Genomic DNA, 21,330 nt, shown 5'->3' with positions numbered 1-21,330 from the left:
TTGTGGAACTGCTGAATCAGAGGGGGCTGCATTTTCCTTAGCCCCCACCTGCAAATTGTGTGTGCAGTTTTTCTGGGATGAGTGTCCTTAGATTTCCCTGAATTCTCAAAAGGATCTGTGACCTCAAAATCAGGAGAGAGGCCGGGCACGGTGGCTCACGCCTGTCATCCCAGTACTTTGGGAGGCCGAGGTGGGCAGATCGCTTGAGCCCAGGAGACCAGCCTGGGCAACATAGCCAGACCCAGTCTCTACAAAAAATTAAAAGATTAACTGGGCTTGGTGATGTGCACTCATGGTCCCAGCTACTCAGGAGGCTGAGGTGGGAGGATCGCTTGAGCACAGGCGGTAAGAGAGGCTCTACCTCTGAAGAGGATGCTTCCCCACCCTCTGCCCCCTCCCCAGGCACCCACTCCAGCAGTGAGAATTTCACTGCCAACATGAGACATGGGTCCCTACCTGTCCCAACTCAGACCCTGTCTATGATGTCCTATGGCCTCAGCAGGGACCAAAACCCTCACCATGGCCTCACCAGAACCTCCACGTGGTTCTCAGATTGGGTTGCAGGTCAGTACCCTCCCCTCCAGCTCCTCAGGGGCCTCCTGCATTCTCTGGCCTTGGCTTCTGCTCTGCCCTCCCCTCCCTTCCCTTCGCCCCCTTCATTTTCATTCTCTATGCAAATGCTGCCTCCTCTAGGAAGCCTTCCCTGATTGCCCCCAGTCTGGGTGGATTAGATGTGATATGGGCTCCCACAGCCCCTTTTGCCTCAGATTACTCATGTGGCTGGCTGTATATCTGTGCCCCAGAGAGGTTTCTTTTCCTTTTTCTTTTTTTTTTTTTTTTTTGAGATAGGGTGTCACCTTGCCACCCAGGCTGGAGTGCAGTGGCATGATCATAGCTCATTGCAGTCTCAACCTCCCGGGCTCAAGCAATCCTTCCACCTGAAAGTCCTGAGCAGCTGGGACTACAGGCGTGTGCCATCACGTGCCTGACTAATTTTTCTTATTTTTTGTAGAGATGGGGTCTTGCTATGTTGCCCAGGCTGGTCTTAAACTCCTAGCCTCAAGCGATCTCCCACCTCAGTCTCCTGAGTAAACTGGACCCCAGGTGCAAGACACCATGCCCATAAAAAAATTTTAAAAAAATTTAATTTTAAAATTTTTTTGTAGAGATAGGATCGTGTTATGCCGCCCAGGCTGGTCTCAAACTCCTGGGCCCAAGCGATCCTCCCACCTAGGCCTCCCAAAGCACTGGGATTACAGGTGTAAGCTACCTCGCCCGGCCTCTCCTGTTCTATTGGTGCTGTGAGATTCACACCTCACTTGAGTGCTATGGGCTGAACTGTGTCCTCTCCACAAATGTCTATGCTGAAGTCCTGCCCCGCAACTGCCTCAGAAAGTGACTATACTTGGAGATAGAATCTTTAAAGAAATAATTAAGTAAAAATGAGGTCATATGCGTGGGCCCTAATCCAACATGACCAGTTTCCTTGTAAGAAGAGCAGATTAGGACACAGACATGCACTGGGGCGGGGGGAGGAGACTGTGTGAACACACAGGGAAAACACAGCTGTCTACAAGGAAAGGAGAGAAGCTTCAGAAGGAGTCACACCTGTGGACATCTTCATCTTGGACTTCCAGTCTCTAGAAACAGAAGACTATAAATGTGTTTGCTTTGAGACAGAGTCTTGCTCTGTTGCCCAGGCTGGAGTGCAACGGTGCGATCTCAGCTCACTACAACCTCCGCCTCCCGAAGGAGGCGTAGTGTAATTCTCCTGCCTCAGCCTCCCAAGTAGCTGGTACCACAGGTGTCCACCACCACACCTGGCTAATTTTTGTATTTTTAGTAGAGACAAGGTTTCACCATGTTGGCCAGGCTTGTCTTGAACTCCTGACCTCAGGTGATCCACCTGCCTCAGCCTCTCAAAGTGCTGGGATTATAGTTTTGTTTTTGAGATGGAGGTCTCGCTTTTGTCACCCAAGGCTGGAGTGCACTGGCACGGTCTTGGCTCACTGCAACCTCTGCCTCCCAGGCTCAAATGATCCTCCCACCTCAGCCTCCTGAGTAGCTGGGACCACGGTGCACACCACTACATTCAGCTAATTCTATTTTTTTGTAGACACAGGATCTCACTATGTTGCCCAGGCTAGTCTTGAACTCCTGGCCTCAAGTGATCAACCTGCCTTGGCCTCCCAATGTGCGACTACAGGCATGAGCCACGGTGCCTGGCAATTTCTGTTAAGTCACCTAGTCTGTGGTACTTTGTTATGACAGCCCTAGCAAACAGATACACCCACCGAAGGCCCTGATAAGTCCTGCAGTCAGGAGTCTCTGTGAACCCCGTGGGGCTGGGAGGAGAAAGCAGGGAGCGTTTGCTGTGTGCCTCACATGAATACAGCAGAAGCTGAACACAACTCCTGGCATCGTATGCCTACAGGTCCCCTTGGAACAGTTCTAGGGGGGTTGGAGTTCCAGGGTCCATTCTGCTTAATAACAATATTAACGGAGCAGCCAAAATGGTTCCAGTGAAAATGGGGTAGCAGCAGCTGTCATGCTTGCACGCCACCAGCCTTCCTGCGCTATCTCTGTTCTCTCCTCTGCAAAGCAGCTGCTATTTTGGGCTCCCTGTTTTTAGATTGGGAACCCCGGAAGTTGGTCAGGGCCTCACCGCTAGAATATCTTAGAGCTGATATTCAAATGAGAGTCCAATTTTTTTTTTTTTGAGACGGAGTCTCGCTTTGTTGCCCAGGTTGGAGTGCAAAGGGGCAATCTCGGCTCACTGCAGCCTCCACATCCTGGGTTCAAGTGATTCTCCTGCCTCAGCCTCCCAAGTAGCTGGGACTACAGGTGCACACCACCACACCCAGCTAGTTGTTTTGTATTTCTAGTAGAGATGGGTTTTCACCATGTTGGCCAGGCTGGTCTTGAAGTCCTGACCTCAAGTGATCCTCCCGCCTTGGCCTCCCAAAGTGCTGGGATTACAGGCGTGAGCCACCGTGCCCTGCCAAAAGTCCAAGTTCTTAACCTCCATGAGGGCTTGAGATGCCCTCAGGGGCAGGGAGAGGCTAATTCTCCTTCTGAGAGGATAATAGGGGTTGGTGGGGCCTGGGGCACAGGCCTGGCTCAGCACAACTCCCAGGGACTCCCTTGATAAGAAGGTGAGGTAGGCACTGGCTGGCAGAGCGACGGGAAGAGTTTATTTCTCTGGAAAGGGAGGGGTAGGGGGCGGGGCCAGGGGTCAGGGCAGGGCAATGTCCTCCAGCTTCTTGTCCAGTGCCTTCAGGTCATCCAGGAAGCGGGTCGGGGTGAGGATGTGTGAGGAGCCTGTGCAGGGGCAGAGGTTTGGGGAAGATGTTGGGGGGCGCTGCCTTCGTCTTTGACAGGCTCCCGGTCCCGGCTGGTGTGGGGCTGTCCCTGTCCCTCAGCAAACCAGGTCCCTGACTCCAAGGACTCTGGAGTCCAGACACCTAGAAGGTACAAGCCCAGGCCCCGGGAACCCAAGCCCCAGACCCCAGGGTCCCAGTCCTGGTGACTTACCAATGAGCACCTCCCACTTGCCCTCGGTGGCCCTGGTCACCTCGTAGGCGGCCCTCATCTCTGACATGGCCACACCGCCCATGACATACACGATGAGCCGGGGGCCCGCCCGGGCTTCTATGCCAGCCTTGTTCTTGTGCCAGTGACCGAAGCGGGCACTGTGCAGGGCAGGGGCAGAAAGTCCAGGCAGGAGGCCCTCACCGCCGCCAGGCCGCCCACCTAACACAGACCCAGGCGTGGGCGGGGGCGGCCCCGGGGCCTCACCTGACAGCGGCCTGGGAGCTGGCCGTGGGGGCGGGGTCGGATACGAAGGGCCACAGGTTCCTGTCCAGCCGGTCCTCCACGGCGTCCTGGCGGCCGAGAGGCAGGTTAGGGGAGGAACCCCAGGCATGGGGTCCGGGGTCAGGAGTGCCCCCCACGGGGTATTCAGGGGCCAAGATCCTGGCAGACAGGAACCAGCATCTCCACCTCCTGCCTCTGGGGGACCCAGGAGTCTAGGCCTCTAGTCCATTGGGGACCTAGAAATCTAGATCCATAACTCACTGGGGACCCACGAATCTAATTCCATAACTCCTTGGGTACCCAGAAGTCTAAACCCACAGTTCCTCGGCAACCCAGTAGTCTGGGCCTCCAGGCCCTTGGGGACCATCAGTCAATACCCCCAGCCCTTTGGGGAACCCAGTGTCTGGGCTCTCAGCCCCTCAGAGCCCCAGAAGTCCAGGTATTCAAGGTCCATGGGGATGAGGAGGCCCAGGTCTCTGGCCCCCACGCAGAAAGAGGGGCCGGGGCTCTTAGAGGGACAAGGAGGAAGCCAGGAAGCCGCCCCAGGCCCATTGCCATTGGATGGTGCTGCCCTGGGATCCTGGGAAGGCCAGGGCTGGGGCTCAGGGGCACTCCTGCGGGACAGGGGAACAGACTAGAGAGATATAGCGGAGGCAGCCGGCAGGTGGGGAGGAAGTGAGGCTCCCCAGCACAGGCCCCGCTGTCACCCCAATTCCTCAGCTGCGGGCTTGGCGTGCCCCCCTCAGCAGAGCAGATCGGTGCCAAGGGAATGCCAGCAATGAGCATTTTCCCCTAAGCCCTGAGGCTTAGCACCTCAGCAGGAGGGAGGCTGAGCCGCCAGCCGATGCGGAGGGCTGGCCCCCACCCTGACCTGCCACCCAGTACCTCCATTACATCCTTGATGACCGGGGTCCAGCGGGACAGCTGATAGGTGGGCTCCATGCGTTCTCTCGGCTCCAGCCGGCTGGAGGTCCCCGAGCCCTACAGGCAGGGCAGGGAGGGCAGCAGGGGGATTGAGGGGAAGGAGGCTGGTCACAGAGGGGCTGCGCCTGGTGTGGCTGGTAGGGTGGGGGATGGCAGGCAAAGATGGGGAAGTGGAACAGAGAGCGAGAGAGAGCGAGAGACAGCAAGAAAGCGAGAGAGAGAAACAGTGAGCCAGAGAGAGACGGAGAGAGAAAGCCAAAGGGAGAGAGAGCGAGCCAGAGAAAGACAAAGACAGAGGCAGAGATAGGCAAAGAGATAAGAAGCAGTGAGACAAAGTATGAAGGCAAAGAGAGAGACAAGAGATGAAGCAGGAAACAGAGAGAGGAAGATGGGGACAGAAGGGGGACGGAGAGGGGAGGGGAGCAAGACAGAGAACAGAGAGAAAGGGGAAGGCAGAGAGAAGGGTGAGAGAGAGAGATATGGAGAAACAGTGCACAGCGAGATGGATGAGGGATGGGGGAGAGATGGGGACGGGGTGAGGGCACCCTGGAGGGGGACGCACAGGGCCAGAGAGAGACAGGAGAGGCTGACCCAAGAGTCAAGCACACACATGGCTGTGTGTGGGTGCTGGATGGGTGCGGGGGACCCTCAGAGACCCCTGGGAGCCCAGATAGACAATGTGGTGTAGCCCCCATGCTGGGGACCCTACTCCCTGCCTCTAGCACTCAGACCACCCGCTCCCAACTGCACCACTGCCAGGACCAGCCTGGCAGCGACCATGTCTCACTTCCCCTGCCTATTGTGTAAGCTGGGACTGGGAGAGGCCCCAGTGTCCTCTGGGCCCCAGACCAGACCCGAAACACTGCTTTTGGCCTCCCAGCAACCACACCACGCCAGGAACCACACCGTGCCTGTGCACCAATGGCCCTCTGCCTTGCAGAGCCCCGGCTGTGATCCGCACCCTCTCCCAGGGTCCCCCCATGCCCGCTCCTGGCGTACCCCGGGGTTGGTGACAGTGCCTCCCAGCTGCTCCAGGTTACGGATGAGGCTGCTGTGCGCCTGTACATTGGCATGCTGGATCAGCTTGGCCAGGTTCTCCTCACTCACACCTGGGGGACGGGAATGGGCAGGGTGGAGGCGGCGGCCAGGTGAGCTCCCAGGTTTAGGGGAGTTTGGGGTGGGCTGAGGAGCTCCCAGGACTCTGATGAGAGAACCTTGCAGTGGGGAGGGCCTCAGTACCCTGTGCTAGTGTGAGCAAGAGTGGGAAACCTGGAGGGGGTAGATCAGGGGCTCCTCCAGATGAGCTGAGGGAGCCCCACATCTATAGGAATCACAGATGTGAGGGTTTCTACGTTAGCAGGGAGCCCTCACCTCAGTGGAGGAATCCCCAAGCCAATGGAGGAGGGTTCCCGGGTCCAGAGGGGTAGCTGTGGGGGTTGGTGAGCCCGGTGAGTGCAAATGACCCAAGGAGAGCTGTGGGGTTCAGCAGTTCCCAGGATCGTGGGAGACGCTGGCAAATGGGGACGTTCCAACTCCCTGCAGCCCCCACCCACCATTCCGAAGGAGGATGTAGAGCAGCAGGACCCGGATCTTGTCGTAGGCGGGCACCGCCGCGTCCAGCAGCACCGGAACGATCAGCTTCATGGAGTCCTTGATCTTCTCCCCCTCTGCGTCGGAGCCCATGGCCAGGTCCTGCGGGCATGGGGTCAGCCGTCCACCGGCCGCTATGTGTCAGGGAAGGGGATGGGAGAGGCGGGCCAAGGACATCCCCAGGATCCTCGGCAAGAGGACATTTGGGTCCTACCTCATCTCAGCACCAGGTCTCTCAAGGTCCCACCCCTGTCCAGGGACAGTCTCTCCACAGGCCCTGCTCCTCACCCAGGTCCCACCTTTCCAGTGCCCCACCCACCTACACACAGGTCACACCACTATCCTGAGACTACCTCTCCAAGGCTCCACCCCTCACCCAGGTCCCAGCTCTCCAAGGCTCCACCCCTCACCCAGGTCCCAGCTCTCCGAGGCTCCACCCCTCACCCAGGTCCCACCTCTCCGAGGTTCCACCCCTCACCCAGGTCCCACCTCTCCGAGGTTCCACACCTCACCCAGGTCCCACCTCTCCGAGGCTCCACCCCTCACCCAGGTCCCACCTCTCCAAGGCTCCACCCCTCACCCAAGTCCCACCTCTCCAAGGCTCCACCCCTCACCCAGGTCCCAGCTCTCCAAGGCTCCACCCCTCACCCAGGTCCCACCTCTCCAAGGCTCCACCCCTCACCCAGGTCCCACCTCTCCGAGGTTCCACCCCTCACCCAGGTCCCACCTCTCCAAGGCCCCGTGCCTCACCCAGATCCCACCTCTCCATGGCTCTACCTGTCTCCCAGCTCCTACCTCTCCAAGGCCCCACCCCTCACTCAGGTCCCACCTCTCCAAGGCTCCGCCCCTCTCCCAGGTCCCACCTCTCTTAAGGCTCCACCCCTCTCCCAGGTCCCACCCCTCCAAGGTTCCACCCCTCATCCAGGTCCCACCTCTCCAAGGTTCCACCCCTCACCCAGGTCCCACCTCTCCAAGGCTCCGCCCCTCACCCAGGTCCCACCTCTCCAAGGCTCCGCCCCTCTCCCAGGGCCCACCTCTCCAAGGCTCCATTCCTCTCCCAGGTCCCACCTCTCCAAGGCTCTGCCCCTCACCCAGGTCCCACCTCTCCAAGGCTCCATTCCTCTCCCAGGTCGCACCTCTCCAAGGCCCTGCCTACCTCTCCAAGGTCCCACCCACCTATGAATAGGCCACATTCCTGTCCTGGGACCACCTGTCCAAGGCTCTGCCCCTCACCCAAGTCTGACCTCTCCAAGCCCCATCCACCTATGCACAGGCCACACCCTCATCCTAGGACCGTTTCTCCACAAGACCCACTCCTTCCCCACCAGGTCCCACCTCTCTCCAAGGCCCCTCCACCTCTCCACAAGCCCTGCCCCTCCCCCAGAACCCCCCATCTCTACAGTTCAGCCCCTCCCCAATACCCCGCCTTGGCAGGACCATCACCCCTGCCCCCCGCAAGCCCTGCCCCACCTGCTCCACACTACACAGCTTCTCCACCGAGCCCTTGAAGTGCTTCATACAATCATCTGCTAGATGCAGGTGCGTAGAATACTGCAGGGTGCAGGGTGGGGGTTGGGGGATAACAAAGGCTGAGTCAAGGCAGAACGCAGACAGAGCATGGGGTTGAGGGGCCGAGGTGTCCCCGCTCCCTGCCCACCCGAGCACACCTTATTCAGCTCCTTCTGGTACTGCGGCATCTTTTTCAGGATCTGGGATAGGTCTTTGATGTTCGCCTGGGGAAGTAGGGGGAAGAGGGTAGGGATTGGGGGGCGAAGCCAGGCAGTGCCCACCTGGGTCTCAGTCCAGGCTCGAAATCCAGGCTGTGGCCCTGCGCCCATGGGGAGGGGGGCTTCCTTCCACCAGCGCCTTTGGTGACCTGGGTCCGCCCCTACCTTGTCCGTGGTCAGCCTCTTGCTCTCACAGAAGGTCCTCAGGAGCTCCGTGACCTTCCTGGCCATGAGGGTGGGCGGGGGTGAGAGTGAGGGGAGAGGAGCCACAGGCCATGGGTGAGCCCACTCAGGGGGGACAGGGAGAGGTGGGGTGAAATTGGAGGCCAGTCTGGAGTCACACGAGGGGTGCTCATGAGGGCCAAAGACTTGGCAGCAGCCAGGGATCCCAAGGCCGCTACCAGGCCCACAGTGGGCGGTGGGGGGGGGATCCGGTCCCCGTGTGCACGCACTTGGACACATCTGCGATATGCATGTGGCGAAGCTCCACCCACAAGTCATCGTCCTCGTCCAGCAAGACGGCCTTCTCCCGCGCCTCGCTCAGCCCGGTGGTCTCATACCTGGGGAGGAAGGAGGGAGCCTGGGGGTCAGGGGAGCTGAGGACTGGGGAACCAGGTCAGTGGCAAGGGTGGGGACGGGTTCCAAGTCTGCAGACCTGTATGTGTCCTGCTCTATGTCCAGCAGATCATACGCCATGGCCTGGAACGTGAGCTCATGCAGTAGTGGGGACACGGGGTCAGCTGCCCGGTCCATTATCAGCAGCTGGGAGCGGGTTTTCTCTGGGCCCTGGGGTGGGGTTTAGGGCAGGAATGAGGCACTGACCCTGAGCCGGTTGGGGCTGCCCCTCACCTCCCAAGCACGCCCCCTCACCTCGCCCAGACTGGGAGTGTCTGCCTTGAAGGCGTTCAGCTTGGCCAGGACGGCGTGGGCCAACTGGGCTGTGTCCTCTGGGCCCCTGGCGGGGAGGTCAGACACGGGGGACATCATCAGGGGATGGGGTCAAGGATGGGTTTGAAGGTGAGAGTCAGGGGCCAGGGTAGGGCCGGGGCTGGGGTCACAAGAGAGGTTAAAGGTTAGGTGTTGCACGCGGTTAAGGGGGGGTCGGCATCGGGGTGGGGCTGGGTGGGGTCCCCACTTGCGGTAGCGGATGGCCGGGTACTCCTGCAGGGTGGCGCACAGCGTGGCAATCTGCTGGGCCAGCACCTCGAGCTGCCGCGTGCGCTCCTCTGCCCGGAAGGGGCAGTAGAGGTTGTAGGTGCTGTGGGGAGCATCGAGGGAGAACACCTGGGCGAGGAGGGGACAGAAGCACCAGGGTTGCCGCTGCAGGTGCACACCTGCCCCGCTTCCCGCTGCCGCCACCTGCACCTCCTGGGAGCCGTCCCTGGTCCCTGAAGCCTGCTTTGCCGAATTGGAGGCAGGCCCAGGTCAACCCTAAACCCATGCCTGCAGGAGTCAGTGGATAAATACCCCAGCCCGTGTCCCTTAAGCTGGCTGGACAACCCCGCGGTGCGCTCTACGCTGCCCCCTGCAAGGGCCTAGTGGGATAGAACTCAAGGCAAGAGCTCCTTGGACTCTGTGGGTACCTCCCCTTTTTAAAATTTTACTTTATGTATGTTTTTGAGACAGGATCTCGCTCTGTCGCCCAGGCTGGAGGGCAGCAGTGCAATCATAGCTCACTGCAGCCTCGACCTCCCGGGCTCAAGCGACTCTCCCACCCCAGCCCCATGAGTAGCTAGGACTACAGGTGCACGCCACCACGCCAAGCTAATTTCTTTCTTTTTCTTTTTTTAAGAGACGGGGTCTTGCTCTGTACCCAGGCTGGTCTCAAACTCCTGGCCCCAAGTGATCCTCCTGCCCTGGCCTCCCACAGCGCTGGGATTACAGGTATGAGCCACTGCGCCCAGCCTCAGTGTCTGTTTCTGAGGGAACAGGGGACATTTGGTCACAAACCCCCACCCCCTGCCCAGGATGAGCCCGGGCCGTACCTGGGCCTCGTAGGGGAGGAAGGCAAGGTGAATCTCCTTCAACGTCTTCACCACCTTTGCCAGACGAGAGCGGCCTAGCTCACTGAACAGGGGCTCGGGGCAGGCTGGGGTGAGGCAGGAGTGGGGCATCAGGCCAGAGCAGCCCCCACACCTCCTTGCCCCACCCACCAACACCCTAGGCTCTCCTCACTCACTGTCGGTGAAGAAGATATGGGCCGCTTTGTAGGTGAAAGTCGGGGTCCCCTGGAAGTCTTTGATCAGGGCCTGAACCGACTGGGGAAGGTGGATCACTCTCTGGGCCTGAGCCTGCACACCTAGGCTCATTGGCTGCCTAGGCCTCCCAGCCACCCCCCATCTGCCACCATGTGCAAACATGGACGGACGGGGACATGTATATGTGCAAATGCACACTAGTGTCGCACCCACATGGGCACACGCGCACACACACAGATGCACGCACGCACACACACATACACACGCATGCACACATGCACACACACACAGATGCACACACACATACACACATGCACACACAGAGATGCACACACATACATACACACATGCACACACACAGATGCGCGCGCACACATACATACACACATATACACACATGCAGACACTGATGCGCACACACACGCATACACACATGCACAGACGCATACACACACGCATACACACGCACACACAGATGCACACACATACATAGACACATGCACACAGATGCACATACATATACACGCATACACACATGCACACACAGATACACACAGACGCACACACAGACGCAGACACATACATACACACGCATACACACATGCACACAGACAGACGCACACACACACATACAGATGCACACAGATGCACACACACATACATACACACGCATACACACATGCACAGACACAAATGCACACACAGACCCACAGACACACACGCATACACACATACACACAAATGCACACACAGACGCACACACATGCACATGCACACAGACACATACATAGACACACATGCAAACACGCACACACATGCATACACAGATGCACACACACATGCACACACATGCACACACATACACATGGACACATGCACACGTATACACATGCACACATGCAATCACATGCATGCAGACATACACACACATGCACATGTACACGCATGCACGCGCATACACACACGCTCACTCATGTAGGCACCTTCTCCGTGGGGCTCAGCAAATAAATGGCCTCCAGACTGGGAATGGGTTCCCGCCGTTTGTTGATGTCTTCAACAACTAGTAGGAACAGAGGAAGGGACACAGGTGGGTGGCATCCAGGCAGGGCCACGTGGGGAGTCTCAGGTGTGGGGGGTTGGAGGCTTGGGGAGGAGGGGTGGATGCTTAGGAGGGACTGCAGGAGAAACCCACTTAGGGACCACCAGCTAAGAGCCACACGACAGGGTTCTGCAGGGGTTGTGCAGCCAACTGGGTTCCCCAAATTTACAGACAGGGAGACTGAGGTTCTGAGAGGACAGGCTCCCTCAGCACCTATCCCTCAATGGCAAAGTGACTGGGACACCACCTGGGGTCACCCATAGAAGGCTCTGCATTCTTGGGACCCCACATCCAGAGTCCACCCTGGGAGTCCCACACAGGGCTCCACGAGGGAGCTGCACGGTCAGGAAGGGGCTGCAGCCAGGGAGTGCTGCAGGGGAGGCCTGCAATCCATGGGCTCCCGCAGTCAGCTTGCAAGGTTTAAGAATGGATTTGGTCACATGATCCGGGCTGTCCGTGCAGGGAGCTGCGTACTTGGGAGTTCTGGACGATTTGAGGGGATCCTACACTCAAGGGCTGAACCCTGGGAGAGGGGCACAGTCAGGGGTTCCCACGCTCAGGTCCCATCTCACTGGGGACGCGTTCACTCACTGGTGATGCCCTCAGCCAGGATATCTGACATTTTGCAGCAGGAAGACAAGATGCGCATGCTTGGGTGATCCATGATAAGCACCTGTCCAGATGGATGGACAGATGGATGGAGGAGCAGGCGGAAGAGGCCACAGCTGGCCCCAGAAGGGGCCAAGGCAGTGGGAGGGGCAGTTTCAAGGGCTGGCTGGGTGGGAGGACCCAGAACCCATTCACCCAACTCCACCCATGTGGACAGGCAGTTCTTGGGGGTCCCACATTCAGGGTCTTCCCCATAGGCCTGATGATGAGCTGCCTCTGGGTACCCAGCCATCTGCCTCACCCCTACCTTCCACTCCCCATCCTTCTTGACACTCCGAATAACTCCGCTCAGAATTTCTGCAGGGAAGGGAGGGGAGGGGTCAGAATGCTGGTTCTCTGGTCCCACCACTGCCCCAAGCCTTCTCAGCCTTGGGGCTGAACCCCCATCTTAATTCCCATTTACTTTTTTTTTTTTTTTAAGAGAGGAGGATCTCACTCTGTCACCTAGGCTAAAGTGCAGTGGTGTGATCATAACTCACTGCGGCCTCCAACTCCTGGGCTCCAGCGATCCTCTTGCCTCAGCCTCCCGAGTAGCTGGGACTACAGGTGCATGTACCACCCACAGCTAATTTATTTTTATTTCTGTATAGATGGGGTCTCGCTATGTTGCCCAAGCTGGTCTCAAACTTTTGGCCTCAAGCAGTCCTCCTGCCTCGGCCTCCCAAAGTGCTGGGATTACAGGTGTGAGACACGGCACAGGAATCATTTATTTTTAGCCCCCAGTTCTGCAAATTGGCTTCTGGGGTCACCCCCAATTTACAGACAGGGAAACAGATTCTTAGGCAACATGTAACTCACCTACGCATCCTGAGTGTCTAAGTGGCAGAGTGCTGGGGCAAAAGGTGCCACTCGATAAACATGTTTTAGGTGAATGAAAAGAGGAGAACCGGGATCATCTACAGCTCTATCTGCCTCTAGCGCCAGGCTCTCGGCTTCCCCACCTGCTACCTCAAGTATTCCTGCTGTGAGGGTTTCAGCCAGTCCCCCCAACCTGGTCTAAAATGTAGGACCCCTGGTTCCCAGCTCTGAGGCATGCCTAGCTGAGGCTATCCCACTGACCTCCGGTCTCAGTTTCCTCATCTGTAAAATGGAATCACTTTTTTCTAATCTCCCCCAATTAAAGGGGTTTGAGCTACAGACCGCCCTGCCTAGAGGAGAGAGTGGAGAGAAGTAACGGGGTGGCCCCGCCCAGCCACGTCCACTGTGTCATGTCCACTGTTATCAAGACGGCCAGGGCGGAAGGAGCAGCTGAGGCCGGAACTCCCCGGGGTGGAGGAAGAGGCGCCCTCCACCCTTCCCCCAAGAACCGGGGCCGGTGAGGCCTGGACGCCTGCGTCCTCCAGCTGCAAGGCGCTCCTGGAAATGGGGCAAGGAGGAAGACATCCCCTACACCACCCCTGTGGGGCCTGGACACGTCCCCTGAGCGCTCACAGCACCTAGGGTCGCTGACCAGAGCCCTAGGAGGCCCCAAGAATCCAGCCCCTGAACTTTGCCCGGCTTAAGAGATCCTAGAGTGTGGGCATCCAGCTGTGCCCTCCTCCCCCGGCAGGCACCCTAGGAGGCCCAGGAGTCCGGGCCCCAGCCTCCGCCACACTCTACCCGTCCCCTTTGGGTCCCCGGAGTCCGGCCCCCCAATTTTGTTCTGTTCTGGCACCGGAGAGCAGGGGCGTCCAGCTGGGAACCCGTCCCCGCCCGCCCCCTCGAGGGTCAGGTGCTCGGACGCCCAGCCCGGCCCCCAACTCCCAGCCGCCATGAAACCCAGGATCCCAGAGCCCGTGCGTCCCCGACCCCCGTCCCACACCGGACGCCAGAGCCCGGCCCCGGAGAGGCACTCACTTTCCCCCACCACCGCCTTCAGCCCCGAGGGCGCCATCTTCCCCGAGGGGCGCCGCCGCCGCTTCCGGGTGTGTCCCAAGGTGGGGGCGTGGCCCCGCGCGTCACCCACGTGGACCCCGCCCCGCGGGCCCTGTCCCCGCCCCCTGCGCACCTGGCCCCTCCCCGCCGTCGGTTCTCGCCCAGGCCCAGGAAGTTGAGTCCCTGGCGGGGAGGACGGGCAGGTGCGTCCGCGCTGCCGAGCACGAAGTCGCTGGAGGTGCACACCTCGACGACACGCTCACAGATGGGAGTTCAGACACACACTTCCTGGCTTGCGTGCGAAGCAGGATCGCAGGGCAATAATCCCTCCATCTTCCCCGGGAGGTTCTGTGCCTGCAAGATACACGGCACCCACTCGATGCCACCGGGCCGCCACTGTCTGGGCCTGGGATCTTGACCCACTTGCCTTCTGTACTTCAGGGTTTAGAGGCAGCAGCAGCAGCAGCAGCCGTCTTGGATAACTTTTGATGGATTCAGGAGGCCTGGAGACCTCTTGTGTGCAGGCACCTGGACATAATTTTCATTCAGTCCTGCCCAATGTTCCGACCTGGACTGCGGTGCCGACGAGGAAACCGAGGCTTAGCGGGATCCCTAATCCAAGGCCACGACGAGTGAGCCTGCTGGGTTCAAGCCAGGAGCCTGTCCCCAGGGGGCATTTGTCACAGCCTTACCCTCTTCCGGGAGGCGCAACGCTTACCCTCGTGGACCAACAATCGAATTAACATGCTGATACACACATGGGGTGAGTGACGCCCTCAAATGCTTGCAAACACAGACACACACTCGGAATTTCAGAAGCTGCTTCTGCTGTGTGTCCTGTCGCTTGGAAGGCACAGCCCCAGCAGCACCCATACAAAATGAGGTCTCCGATTTAAGGTGCGAGGTATGTGTGCAAACAGACTCTTGCTGGTCTGAGCTGGTTCCTTCGCTCGGCCGTGTTGATGAAGGTACCAAGCCCCCTGCCACTTACATGGGACATAGGGAGTGAATCAGACCCGAAGGTCTGGGGGAGATAGGAAAGGATCCATGCTGCCCTAAAGGAAATAAACTAATGTGACAACAAGTGCCACAGAAGGTAGGGGTGGGAGGGGACTTTACTGAGGATGACCCCCGAGGGCCTCTCTGAAGAAGCAGCCTTTTGACATTATCCCTAAATGGATTCTAGAAGCAGCCACACAGCATGTCCAGGTAGAGAAGGGAGGAGCCCCGAGCTTAAGAAGGCTGGAGGGTGGGGGCAGCAGGGGCCAGACTTCTGTAGGACAAGGTCAGACTGACCCATCCCAGTGCCAGGATGCAGGACTTTCAGTGCTAAAAATAGGACAGTCACAGGCAAACCAGGACGGTTGGCAACCGTAGGTAGGAGTTTGAGCTATTTCTTCCTTTCCTTTCCTTTTCCCTTCCTTTCTTCCTTCTTCTCCCTCCTCCCCATTTTTGTTTGTTTTTGTTTTGTAAAGAGACGGGTCTCGCTCTGTTGCTCAGGCTGGAGGGCAGTGGCACGATCATAGCTCACTGCAGCCTCGACTTCCTGAGCTCAAGGGATTCTTCCACTTCGGCCACCCAAGTAGCTGGGACTACAGGTGCACGCCACCGTGCCCGGTTGATTTTGTTGTTGTTGTTAAGAGACAGGATCTCCCTATGTTGCCCAGGCTGGTATCAAACTCCTGGGCTCAAGGGATCCTCCTGCCTTGGCCTCCCAAAGTGTTAGGATTTTAGGTATGAGCCACCGCACCCTGCCCCTTCCTCCTTTTGTAACAGCTTTACTGAGATATAATTCACATACCATACAACTCGCTGACCTAAGGTGCGTAAGTCAATGGCTTTCAGTATTTTTGGAGTTGTGTGTCCATTACCACAATCCATTTTAGAACATTTCCACAACCCCTAGGTGTTTGGGTTTTGTCTTCTCAAGAGTTTTGAGCAGGGGAAGGCGGGGAACCCTCCAGATCCTGGGGGGATGGAAGCCAGGACCGCCTCCAGCTTCTCAGCCTGACCCCTTGGGGGGACAGAGAGCTGTTAGGGCCAGCCACCCCACCACTAACCCCCAAAAGATATGAAGTACTAATCCCCAATACCCCACAATAGGATCTTATTTGAAATGGGGTTAGTATAGATATTAGCAGTGAGCATGAGGTCACACTGGAGTAGAGTAGGCCCCTAATGCAATATCACTGGTGTCCTTGTAAGATAGTTATATGTCTGCCTGGTTCTGTGTAGGTGGTTGGGGGGGTGGGGAAATGGGTATATGAAGACTGGGACACAGAGGGAGAATGCCATGTGACCACGGAGGCAGGGAGTGAAGAGCTGCAGTGACAAGCCAAGGACATCAAGGACGGCAGGCCACTGCCAAAAGCCAGGGAGGGGCAAGGAGGGCTCCTGAGACCTGGTTTTCAGAGGGAGCACAGCTCTGCCAACACCTTCATTTCAGGCTGTGGCCTCTGGAACGTTGGCTCAATAAATTTGTTAAAAAAAAATTTTAAAGGCTCAGCATGGTGGCTCATGCCTGTAATCCCAGCACTTTGGGAGGCCCAGGCAGGAGGATCACATGAACCCAGGAGTTTGAGACTAGCCTGGGCAAAATAGTGAGACCTCATCTCTATATAAAAATATATAACAAAAGTCAACTTATGTGTTTTAAGCCATCTGGTCTATGACACTTTGTTCTGGCAGGCCTAGGAAAGGGATACACGTACTGAGGAGGGGGACACTTCATTGGCATAGAGGGAGAGAGTGTGAACTTGGCCTTTTGTGGAACAGAGGAGGCTCGGGCAGAGGTGGTGATAGTGCAGCCCATTCATTCTGAGATGAAACTTCCACTGGTTTCCGTAAAGGCGTCTTGGGGAGGGAAGGGAAGGGGATGGGGACCTCCCAGTGGTATCCCCTGCTTGGGCACTGAGGGAAAGCCACAGTGGCTCGGGGGAAAAGGCAGGGACGTCCTCTCCCCGCCTGCCTCTGTCCCCAGGGAGTCTCGCCTCCTGTTCCCACCTGGGGCTAGGGTGATAGAGGAGAGGAGATAGCTCAACCTGGCATTTAGGTGGTGTGGGAACAGGAGACCCCAGACTTTCTTGTTTTGGGGTCTGGGGCAGGCAACCAGGCTCCAGGGACAGTGAGTTGAAGGAAGGGTGGCTGGGAGACCCCTTGACTTGCTGCCAAGGAGACAGAGCTGGAGCTAGGGTGGCCGGTGGTGTCTGAGGCAGGTGCAGAGAGGGAGGGAGGGAAGGGGCCTTTGACTCCAACCTCCTTTTTCTGTACCGACTGCAGGTGGCAGCTGCCCTTTCAGGAGCCAGTGGGGGAACCTGGGTGGCTGGGTGGGGACACCTGCAAGTCCTCCCTAAGCCAGCTACCACCCTACACTGTTGGCCTCCCTTCTCCAACTGTGGGGATGCTGCTCAGGCCTTTTGTGACATCACACCTGAGAGTCCCTGGGGTCCAGTCATTGCTGCTGGGCACAGCGAGGTCCAAGCTCAGGTCGCCCTGCCCCCTACCCACCATGCCAGATCCAGCATCGTTGTGGGCAAACAATTATCTGGATGATCTTTATGGGGCTTAAGCTTGGGTGGGAGCAGATGGGGCATGAGCTGGGGATTTGGGGATGGGGGGAATCCACACCCCCACGTCCTGGACGTTTAAAAGGCCCTCTCTGGCACTGGGCCGGGGCAGAGGCCAGCAGAAAAGTGACTGGAGTCCAGGGACATGATGGATCAGGAGGAGAAGACGGAGGAAGGCTCAGGCCCCTGTGCCGAGGTGAGAGGGCCCTGCCCCCACCCCACCCCCAGCTCAAGGTCTCAGAGCCCATGATTGACAAGACTAGTTTGTAGGGCACCTAATTAACGAGTGAGTCTCCTAGGACCCCCTGACCCAGTTGTGGCTGTAGAAAGGGGCTGGTGGGCTTGGGGGTCTGAGTGCCAGGCCCCAGGGCAGAGGGCAGGGCTCTCCGTGTGGACCCCTATTGATGGGAGATGCTGGGACCTGGGGGTAGCTCCTGGGCCATGTTTCCCTGATTCGTGTCCCAGCTCCCAGGCCACACTCATCAGGCCCCAATCTAGGACGGCGGGACACGCATCGGAGCCTGTCCCTTGAAGCGGTACCACGTGAAGTGGCACTGCTGGCCAGGGCCCCTGGGGCGGGGGCCGGGATTGGGAAGGAGACTCATGTCTCATTCAGAACAGCTCTGCAGAGAGGATCGGCGGGGACCATGGTGAGAGCTGAGGAAGTGGGGACGGCAGGCCCCGGGGTCAGGGTGTGAGCAAGCTGGCTAGGAAGTTTGGGGAGGGGCCCCCAAGCTGAAGGGCCAACCAGACTGAGCGAGTCTGTCCCCAGGCGGGCTCCCCAGACCAGGAGGGCTTCTTCAATCTGCTGAGCCACGTGCAGGGCGACCGGATGGAGGGACAGCGCTGTTCACTGCAAGCCGGGCCGGGCCAGACCACCAAGAGCCGTGAGCATGGGCACGGGGGTGCTGTCCATGGGGCGTGAACGGGGTGGGAGTGCAGGGCAAGTGGTCATCTGGAGGGCCTGGGGGCACGGGATGTGGGAGGTGGTTGTGCACCCTGAAGCATCTGTGTGGGGGTGAAGGGGTAGGGTTGGGGGCCCCCACTCCGGCTGTGTCCTCCCAAGTCTGTGAACGTCCACGCAGAGAGCGACCCCACCCCCGAGATGGACAGCCTCATGGACATGCTGGCCAGTACCCAGGGCCGCCGCATGGATGACCAACGTGTGACAGTCAGCAGCCTGCCCGGCTTCCAGCCCGTGGGGTCCAAGGTAGGTGATGTTCTGGCGATGTCGAGGAGAAACCCGCCAGGCAGTGCTCTCCGATCCTGCCCTCCACCCCAGCCAGGAGGGAACAGGGCCTGCCCCATCTCTGTCCATCCGCTGCCCTGACTTCAGATGGGAGGACCAAGGCCCAGGCAGTGGCTAGAGGGGCCCAAGGTTATACAGGGGCCATGCTAGTGTAAGACCCATGGCTGGAACTTGTGGCTCCTGCCCCCAAGTCTGAAGGTTCTGGGGAGGCCAAAGGGAGAAAATAGGACCCCTTCCTAGGAAAGTATCCCAGGGAGGAAGTCACGTAAGCTCACACATAGGATATATACATCTGTATACTCACATCTGTTGACTTCACACATACACGAAGCTTGGGTTCTGATCAAGATCCCAGCGAGGGCCCCAAGACCTGCCACCTCACACTCAAATGCCACCCTAAATGGCAGATATTGAGGGTAAACATAGACCAGTGCTCACAATGAGGTGGGACACGGTGGCTACCTGCACCCTCTCTCCATTGTTCGCCACCTGTGGCCGGCACTGCCCTTGAGCCCTCCCCCTGGCTGACCCCTCTTCATCCACAGGACGGAGCACAGAAACGAGCTGGGACCCTCAGTCCCCAACCCCTGCTCACCCCTCAGGACCCGACCGCTCTCGGCTTCCGTCGGAACAGCAGCCCCCAGCCCCCGACACAAGCCCCCTGAGGGCCTGAGGCATCCTGGGTCTCACTCGGCCCCCAAAAACTGATAAAAGAATAAAACACTTAAATGAATAACAAGGAACTGAGTATATGTATATTTCATCAGGGGAGGGGCTAGGACTCCCACTTGGAGGCCTCAGGAGTTCTGCTGGGCGTCGCGAAGGAGCTTCTCCTCCCGCCGCTTCCGTAACCTCTCTTTGAATTCCTCTATCTCTTGAAGCTAGGGGTGGAGAAGCGGGTGGGACAGGAAGGGGGGAGGGGCACACACCTCAGAGCCGGGACCACCCCCCCCCGCCCACCTCTCCCACCACCCTGCCCCAGACCACGGCTTCAGGGTTCAGTGTCTTCACTGGAAGCCCCCTGCCAATTACAAAGGGGTCCGCGTGGGATCCGCTTCACTCTTCCAGGAGAAGGCAATAAGGAAACCATCTACTCCTCTGCTCTCGGTTCCTTACTCATGGCTGAGAGTAAAATGTTTCTTTTTGAGACAAAGTCTCACTCTATTGCCCAGGCTGGAGTGCAGTGGCGTGATCTTGGGCTCACTGCAACCTCCACCTCCTGGGTTCAAGTGATTCTTCTCCCTCAGCCTCCCAAGCAGCTGGAATTATAGGCGCCTGCCACCATGCCTGGCTAAGTTTTGTATTTCTGTAGACATGGGGTTTCGCCATGTTGGCCAGGCTGGTTTTGAACTCCTGACCTCAAGTGATCTACCCACCTCAGCCTCCCATGCCCTGGGATTACAAGCATGAGCCACTGCGCCTGGCCTAAAATTTTCATCTAAAACCCATCCCGGATACAAGAATCCAGCCTCCTCCATCCCTCTGGCAGGAAGAAGAGATCACTTACCTTCTCAGGTGGCCACAGCTCCCTCTGTAAGGAAAAGTCACAAATGGGACACGAGCCAAAGGCCTCCAGAGCCCCACATCAGGGCAGGGTCGGCTTATGGGAGGCAGACATTAGTCCCCAGCAGACTGCTGCCCCACACCCTCTCCCACCCCTGGAATGAACCCTCAAACACTCCTCTTATGCCCACCTTGCGCTGTATGACATCGTCCTCAAACCACTCGGCCTGATTGGAAACCCAGAACATAGCCACAGGGAAAGTGAGGTAGATTATCATCTGGAATGGCAGAGGGTGGGTGAGGTGAGCTCCCCCCAAGCAATGTGCAGAGGCTCCTCAGAGCCTGGGGGACCCATCCTACTGCAGAGTCCAGAAGCGCCTCGTTACGGCCGACCCAAGAATCCCAGAACTCCCACCAAGGGTACAGAAACCTCGCACCCTAAAACCTAACTCCTATAATCCAGGAGGCCTCATTCCTGAAAGTTCCCTCTGAGCTGGAGTCTTCCTCTCAAACACAGACAGACACACAGACGCCCCAGCTACAATCAAAAGCATCTCCTCGAGACCTCATTACCCATCCCCACTTAAGATCCCGGGAGCACCCCCAAACCCAGGAGGCGTCACTCTTCAACTCCACTTCTCGAAGTCTAGGAATCTCCCTGTCATAGACACCCACCCACCACGAGCCCGAGAGCTCCCCCAGGATCTTAAGTCTTCCTTCTTTAGAGCCCCCTTCTCAGCTCACCCCTCTCTGAGGTCCTTCCTCGGACCAGCCCTCTCACAGCCCCCAAACCCAGAAGCCCAAATCCGAGAACCCCCCCAGCCCAGCGTCCCCTCTCCTGGATTTCCAACCAGAAAGGTTCCTCTCAAATCTTAAGAGCTTTCTCCTTGGAGCTCCCTCTTCCTTTGAAGTCCCCCCATTTCCAACCTCATCTTCAGATCCAGGAAGATCCCCTGCCCAGCCTCCCAACCCACTCCTGTGTCCACTGACCCGAAATATCTCCAGCTTCACCCCCATCTCGTTTCTCCCGGTCAACAAAGCCAGTTCCGCCCAAAGCCGACCCTCCAGCAAGACAGAAGCTCACTGGTGTTTTGCACGCTCCATTGCTGAAGCTGATTGGCCAATGTGTATCCTG

The 21,330-nt window shown here is 58.2% G+C and overlaps 3 protein-coding genes across 11 annotated transcripts, besides 8 other annotated features; 1 reads left to right on the top strand and 2 right to left on the bottom strand.

Annotated features, from left to right (window-relative positions):
- Positions 2,065-2,114: an enhancer, noted in NCBI's record as "active region_13890". NCBI's record gives its function as "activates an Ori minimal core promoter by ATAC-STARR-seq in GM12878 lymphoblastoid cells {active_cell/tissue: GM12878}" and the evidence as "EXISTENCE:reporter gene assay evidence [ECO:0000049][PMID:35858748]".
- Positions 3,173-21,253, bottom strand: STXBP2 (syntaxin binding protein 2). Of its 5 annotated transcripts, NM_001414484.1 has the most exons (21): positions 21,186-21,253; positions 20,387-20,473; positions 20,200-20,223; positions 12,271-12,320; positions 11,946-12,027; positions 11,239-11,315; positions 10,237-10,315; positions 10,043-10,146; positions 9,193-9,341; positions 8,928-9,012; positions 8,713-8,843; positions 8,510-8,617; positions 8,223-8,280; positions 7,998-8,063; positions 7,801-7,881; positions 6,294-6,432; positions 5,740-5,849; positions 4,702-4,797; positions 3,799-3,884; positions 3,535-3,692; positions 3,173-3,321 (listed from the first exon to the last, which is right to left on the bottom strand). In NM_001414484.1, the coding sequence occupies exons 5-21, from the start codon at positions 12,016-12,018 to the stop codon at positions 3,236-3,238; spliced, it is 1,686 nt and encodes a 561-aa protein (NP_001401413.1). In that variant the 5' UTR covers positions 12,019-12,027; positions 12,271-12,320; positions 20,200-20,223; positions 20,387-20,473; positions 21,186-21,253; the 3' UTR covers positions 3,173-3,235. The 5 variants fall into 5 exon arrangements, 4 of the variants coding, with proteins under 4 accessions (NP_001401413.1, NP_001258963.1, NP_008880.2 ...); NR_073560.2 differs by lacking the exons at positions 7,801-7,881; positions 20,200-20,223; positions 20,387-20,473; positions 21,186-21,253 and adding exons at positions 6,112-6,167; positions 13,860-13,936; NM_001272034.2 differs by lacking the exons at positions 20,200-20,223; positions 20,387-20,473; positions 21,186-21,253 and adding an exon at positions 13,860-13,936 and having other exon boundaries at positions 10,237-10,348.
- Positions 6,933-6,982: a silencer, noted in NCBI's record as "silent region_9989". NCBI's record gives its function as "represses an Ori minimal core promoter by ATAC-STARR-seq in GM12878 lymphoblastoid cells {active_cell/tissue: GM12878}" and the evidence as "EXISTENCE:reporter gene assay evidence [ECO:0000049][PMID:35858748]".
- Positions 12,807-13,333: an enhancer, noted in NCBI's record as "H3K4me1 hESC enhancer chr19:7702599-7703125 (GRCh37/hg19 assembly coordinates)". NCBI's record gives its function as "activates a minimal SCP1, AML or CMV promoter by ChIP-STARR-seq in naive H9 embryonic stem cells {active_cell/tissue: H9 hESC(naive)}" and the evidence as "EXISTENCE:reporter gene assay evidence [ECO:0000049][PMID:30033119]".
- Positions 13,334-13,862: an enhancer, noted in NCBI's record as "H3K4me1 hESC enhancer chr19:7702070-7702598 (GRCh37/hg19 assembly coordinates)". NCBI's record gives its function as "activates a minimal SCP1, AML or CMV promoter by ChIP-STARR-seq in naive and primed H9 embryonic stem cells {active_cell/tissue: H9 hESC(naive and primed)}" and the evidence as "EXISTENCE:reporter gene assay evidence [ECO:0000049][PMID:30033119]".
- Positions 13,829-14,118: a silencer, noted in NCBI's record as "silent region_9988". NCBI's record gives its function as "represses an Ori minimal core promoter by ATAC-STARR-seq in GM12878 lymphoblastoid cells {active_cell/tissue: GM12878}" and the evidence as "EXISTENCE:reporter gene assay evidence [ECO:0000049][PMID:35858748]".
- Positions 13,829-14,390: a biological region, named in NCBI's record as "H3K4me1 hESC enhancer GRCh37_chr19:7701542-7702069".
- Positions 13,863-14,390: an enhancer, noted in NCBI's record as "H3K4me1 hESC enhancer chr19:7701542-7702069 (GRCh37/hg19 assembly coordinates)". NCBI's record gives its function as "activates a minimal SCP1, AML or CMV promoter by ChIP-STARR-seq in primed H9 embryonic stem cells {active_cell/tissue: H9 hESC(primed)}" and the evidence as "EXISTENCE:reporter gene assay evidence [ECO:0000049][PMID:30033119]".
- On the top strand, positions 14,040-19,431 carry PCP2 (Purkinje cell protein 2). Of its 4 annotated transcripts, XM_024451346.2 has the most exons (5): positions 17,327-17,639; positions 17,909-18,093; positions 18,216-18,330; positions 18,529-18,653; positions 19,238-19,431. In XM_024451346.2, the coding sequence occupies exons 1-5, from the start codon at positions 17,426-17,428 to the stop codon at positions 19,355-19,357; spliced, it is 759 nt and encodes a 252-aa protein (XP_024307114.1). In that variant the 5' UTR covers positions 17,327-17,425; the 3' UTR covers positions 19,358-19,431. The 4 variants fall into 4 exon arrangements, with proteins under 4 accessions (XP_006722702.1, XP_024307114.1, NP_777555.1 ...); XM_006722639.4 differs by lacking the exons at positions 17,327-17,639; positions 17,909-18,093 and adding an exon at positions 14,040-14,640; NM_174895.3 differs by lacking the exon at positions 17,909-18,093.
- PET100 (PET100 cytochrome c oxidase chaperone) lies at positions 19,090-21,253 on the bottom strand. Of its 2 annotated transcripts, NR_033242.2 has the most exons (5): positions 21,186-21,253; positions 20,387-20,473; positions 20,200-20,223; positions 19,725-19,814; positions 19,090-19,573 (listed from the first exon to the last, which is right to left on the bottom strand). NR_033242.2 is itself a non-coding variant. In NM_001171155.2 (4 exons), exons 1-4 carry the CDS (start codon positions 21,210-21,212, stop codon positions 19,490-19,492), a joined length of 222 nt encoding a protein of 73 aa, NP_001164626.1. In that variant the 5' UTR covers positions 21,213-21,253; the 3' UTR covers positions 19,090-19,489. The 2 variants fall into 2 exon arrangements, 1 of the variants encoding a protein (NP_001164626.1); NM_001171155.2 differs by lacking the exon at positions 19,725-19,814.
- Positions 21,160-21,209: an enhancer, noted in NCBI's record as "active region_13889". NCBI's record gives its function as "activates an Ori minimal core promoter by ATAC-STARR-seq in GM12878 lymphoblastoid cells {active_cell/tissue: GM12878}" and the evidence as "EXISTENCE:reporter gene assay evidence [ECO:0000049][PMID:35858748]".

The sequence above is a fragment of the Homo sapiens genome, chromosome 19 (genome assembly GCF_000001405.40).
Source record: "Homo sapiens chromosome 19, GRCh38.p14 Primary Assembly".
Lineage (NCBI taxonomy): Eukaryota > Metazoa > Chordata > Mammalia > Primates > Hominidae > Homo > Homo sapiens.
Note: the sequence above shows the minus strand (reverse complement) of the source record. Positions and strands in the feature narration are given on the sequence as shown.

Bases quoted from the DNA above. Each gene is read 5' to 3' on its own strand.
- PCP2 (XM_024451346.2), top strand. From the start codon at position 17,426: ATGATCTTTATGGGGCTTAAGCTTGGGTGGGAGCAGATGGGGCATGAG. The intron at 18,094-18,215 runs GTGAGAGCTGAG...GTCTGTCCCCAG, and splicing joins GAGGATCGGCGGGGACCATG to GCGGGCTCCCCAGACCAGGA. The intron at 18,331-18,528 runs GTGAGCATGGGC...ACGTCCACGCAG, and splicing joins GGGCCAGACCACCAAGAGCC to AGAGCGACCCCACCCCCGAG.
- STXBP2 (NM_001272034.2), bottom strand. From the start codon at position 13,896: ATGGCGCCCTCGGGGCTGAAGGCGGTGGTGGGGGAAA. The intron at 8,281-8,509 runs GTGCGTGCACAC...CCTCATGGCCAG, and splicing joins CATATCGCAGATGTGTCCAA to GAAGGTCACGGAGCTCCTGA. The intron at 5,850-6,293 runs GTGGGTGGGGGC...CCCGTCCCCCAG, and splicing joins CTACATCCTCCTTCGGAATG to GTGTGAGTGAGGAGAACCTG.
- PET100 (NM_001171155.2), bottom strand. From the start codon at position 21,212: ATGGGGGTGAAGCTGGAGATATTTCGG. The intron at 20,224-20,386 runs GTGGGCATAAGA...TTTTCCTTACAG, and splicing joins ACGATGTCATACAGCGCAAG to AGGGAGCTGTGGCCACCTGA. The intron at 19,574-20,199 runs GTAAGTGATCTC...CTCCACCCCTAG, and splicing joins AGCTGTGGCCACCTGAGAAG to CTTCAAGAGATAGAGGAATT.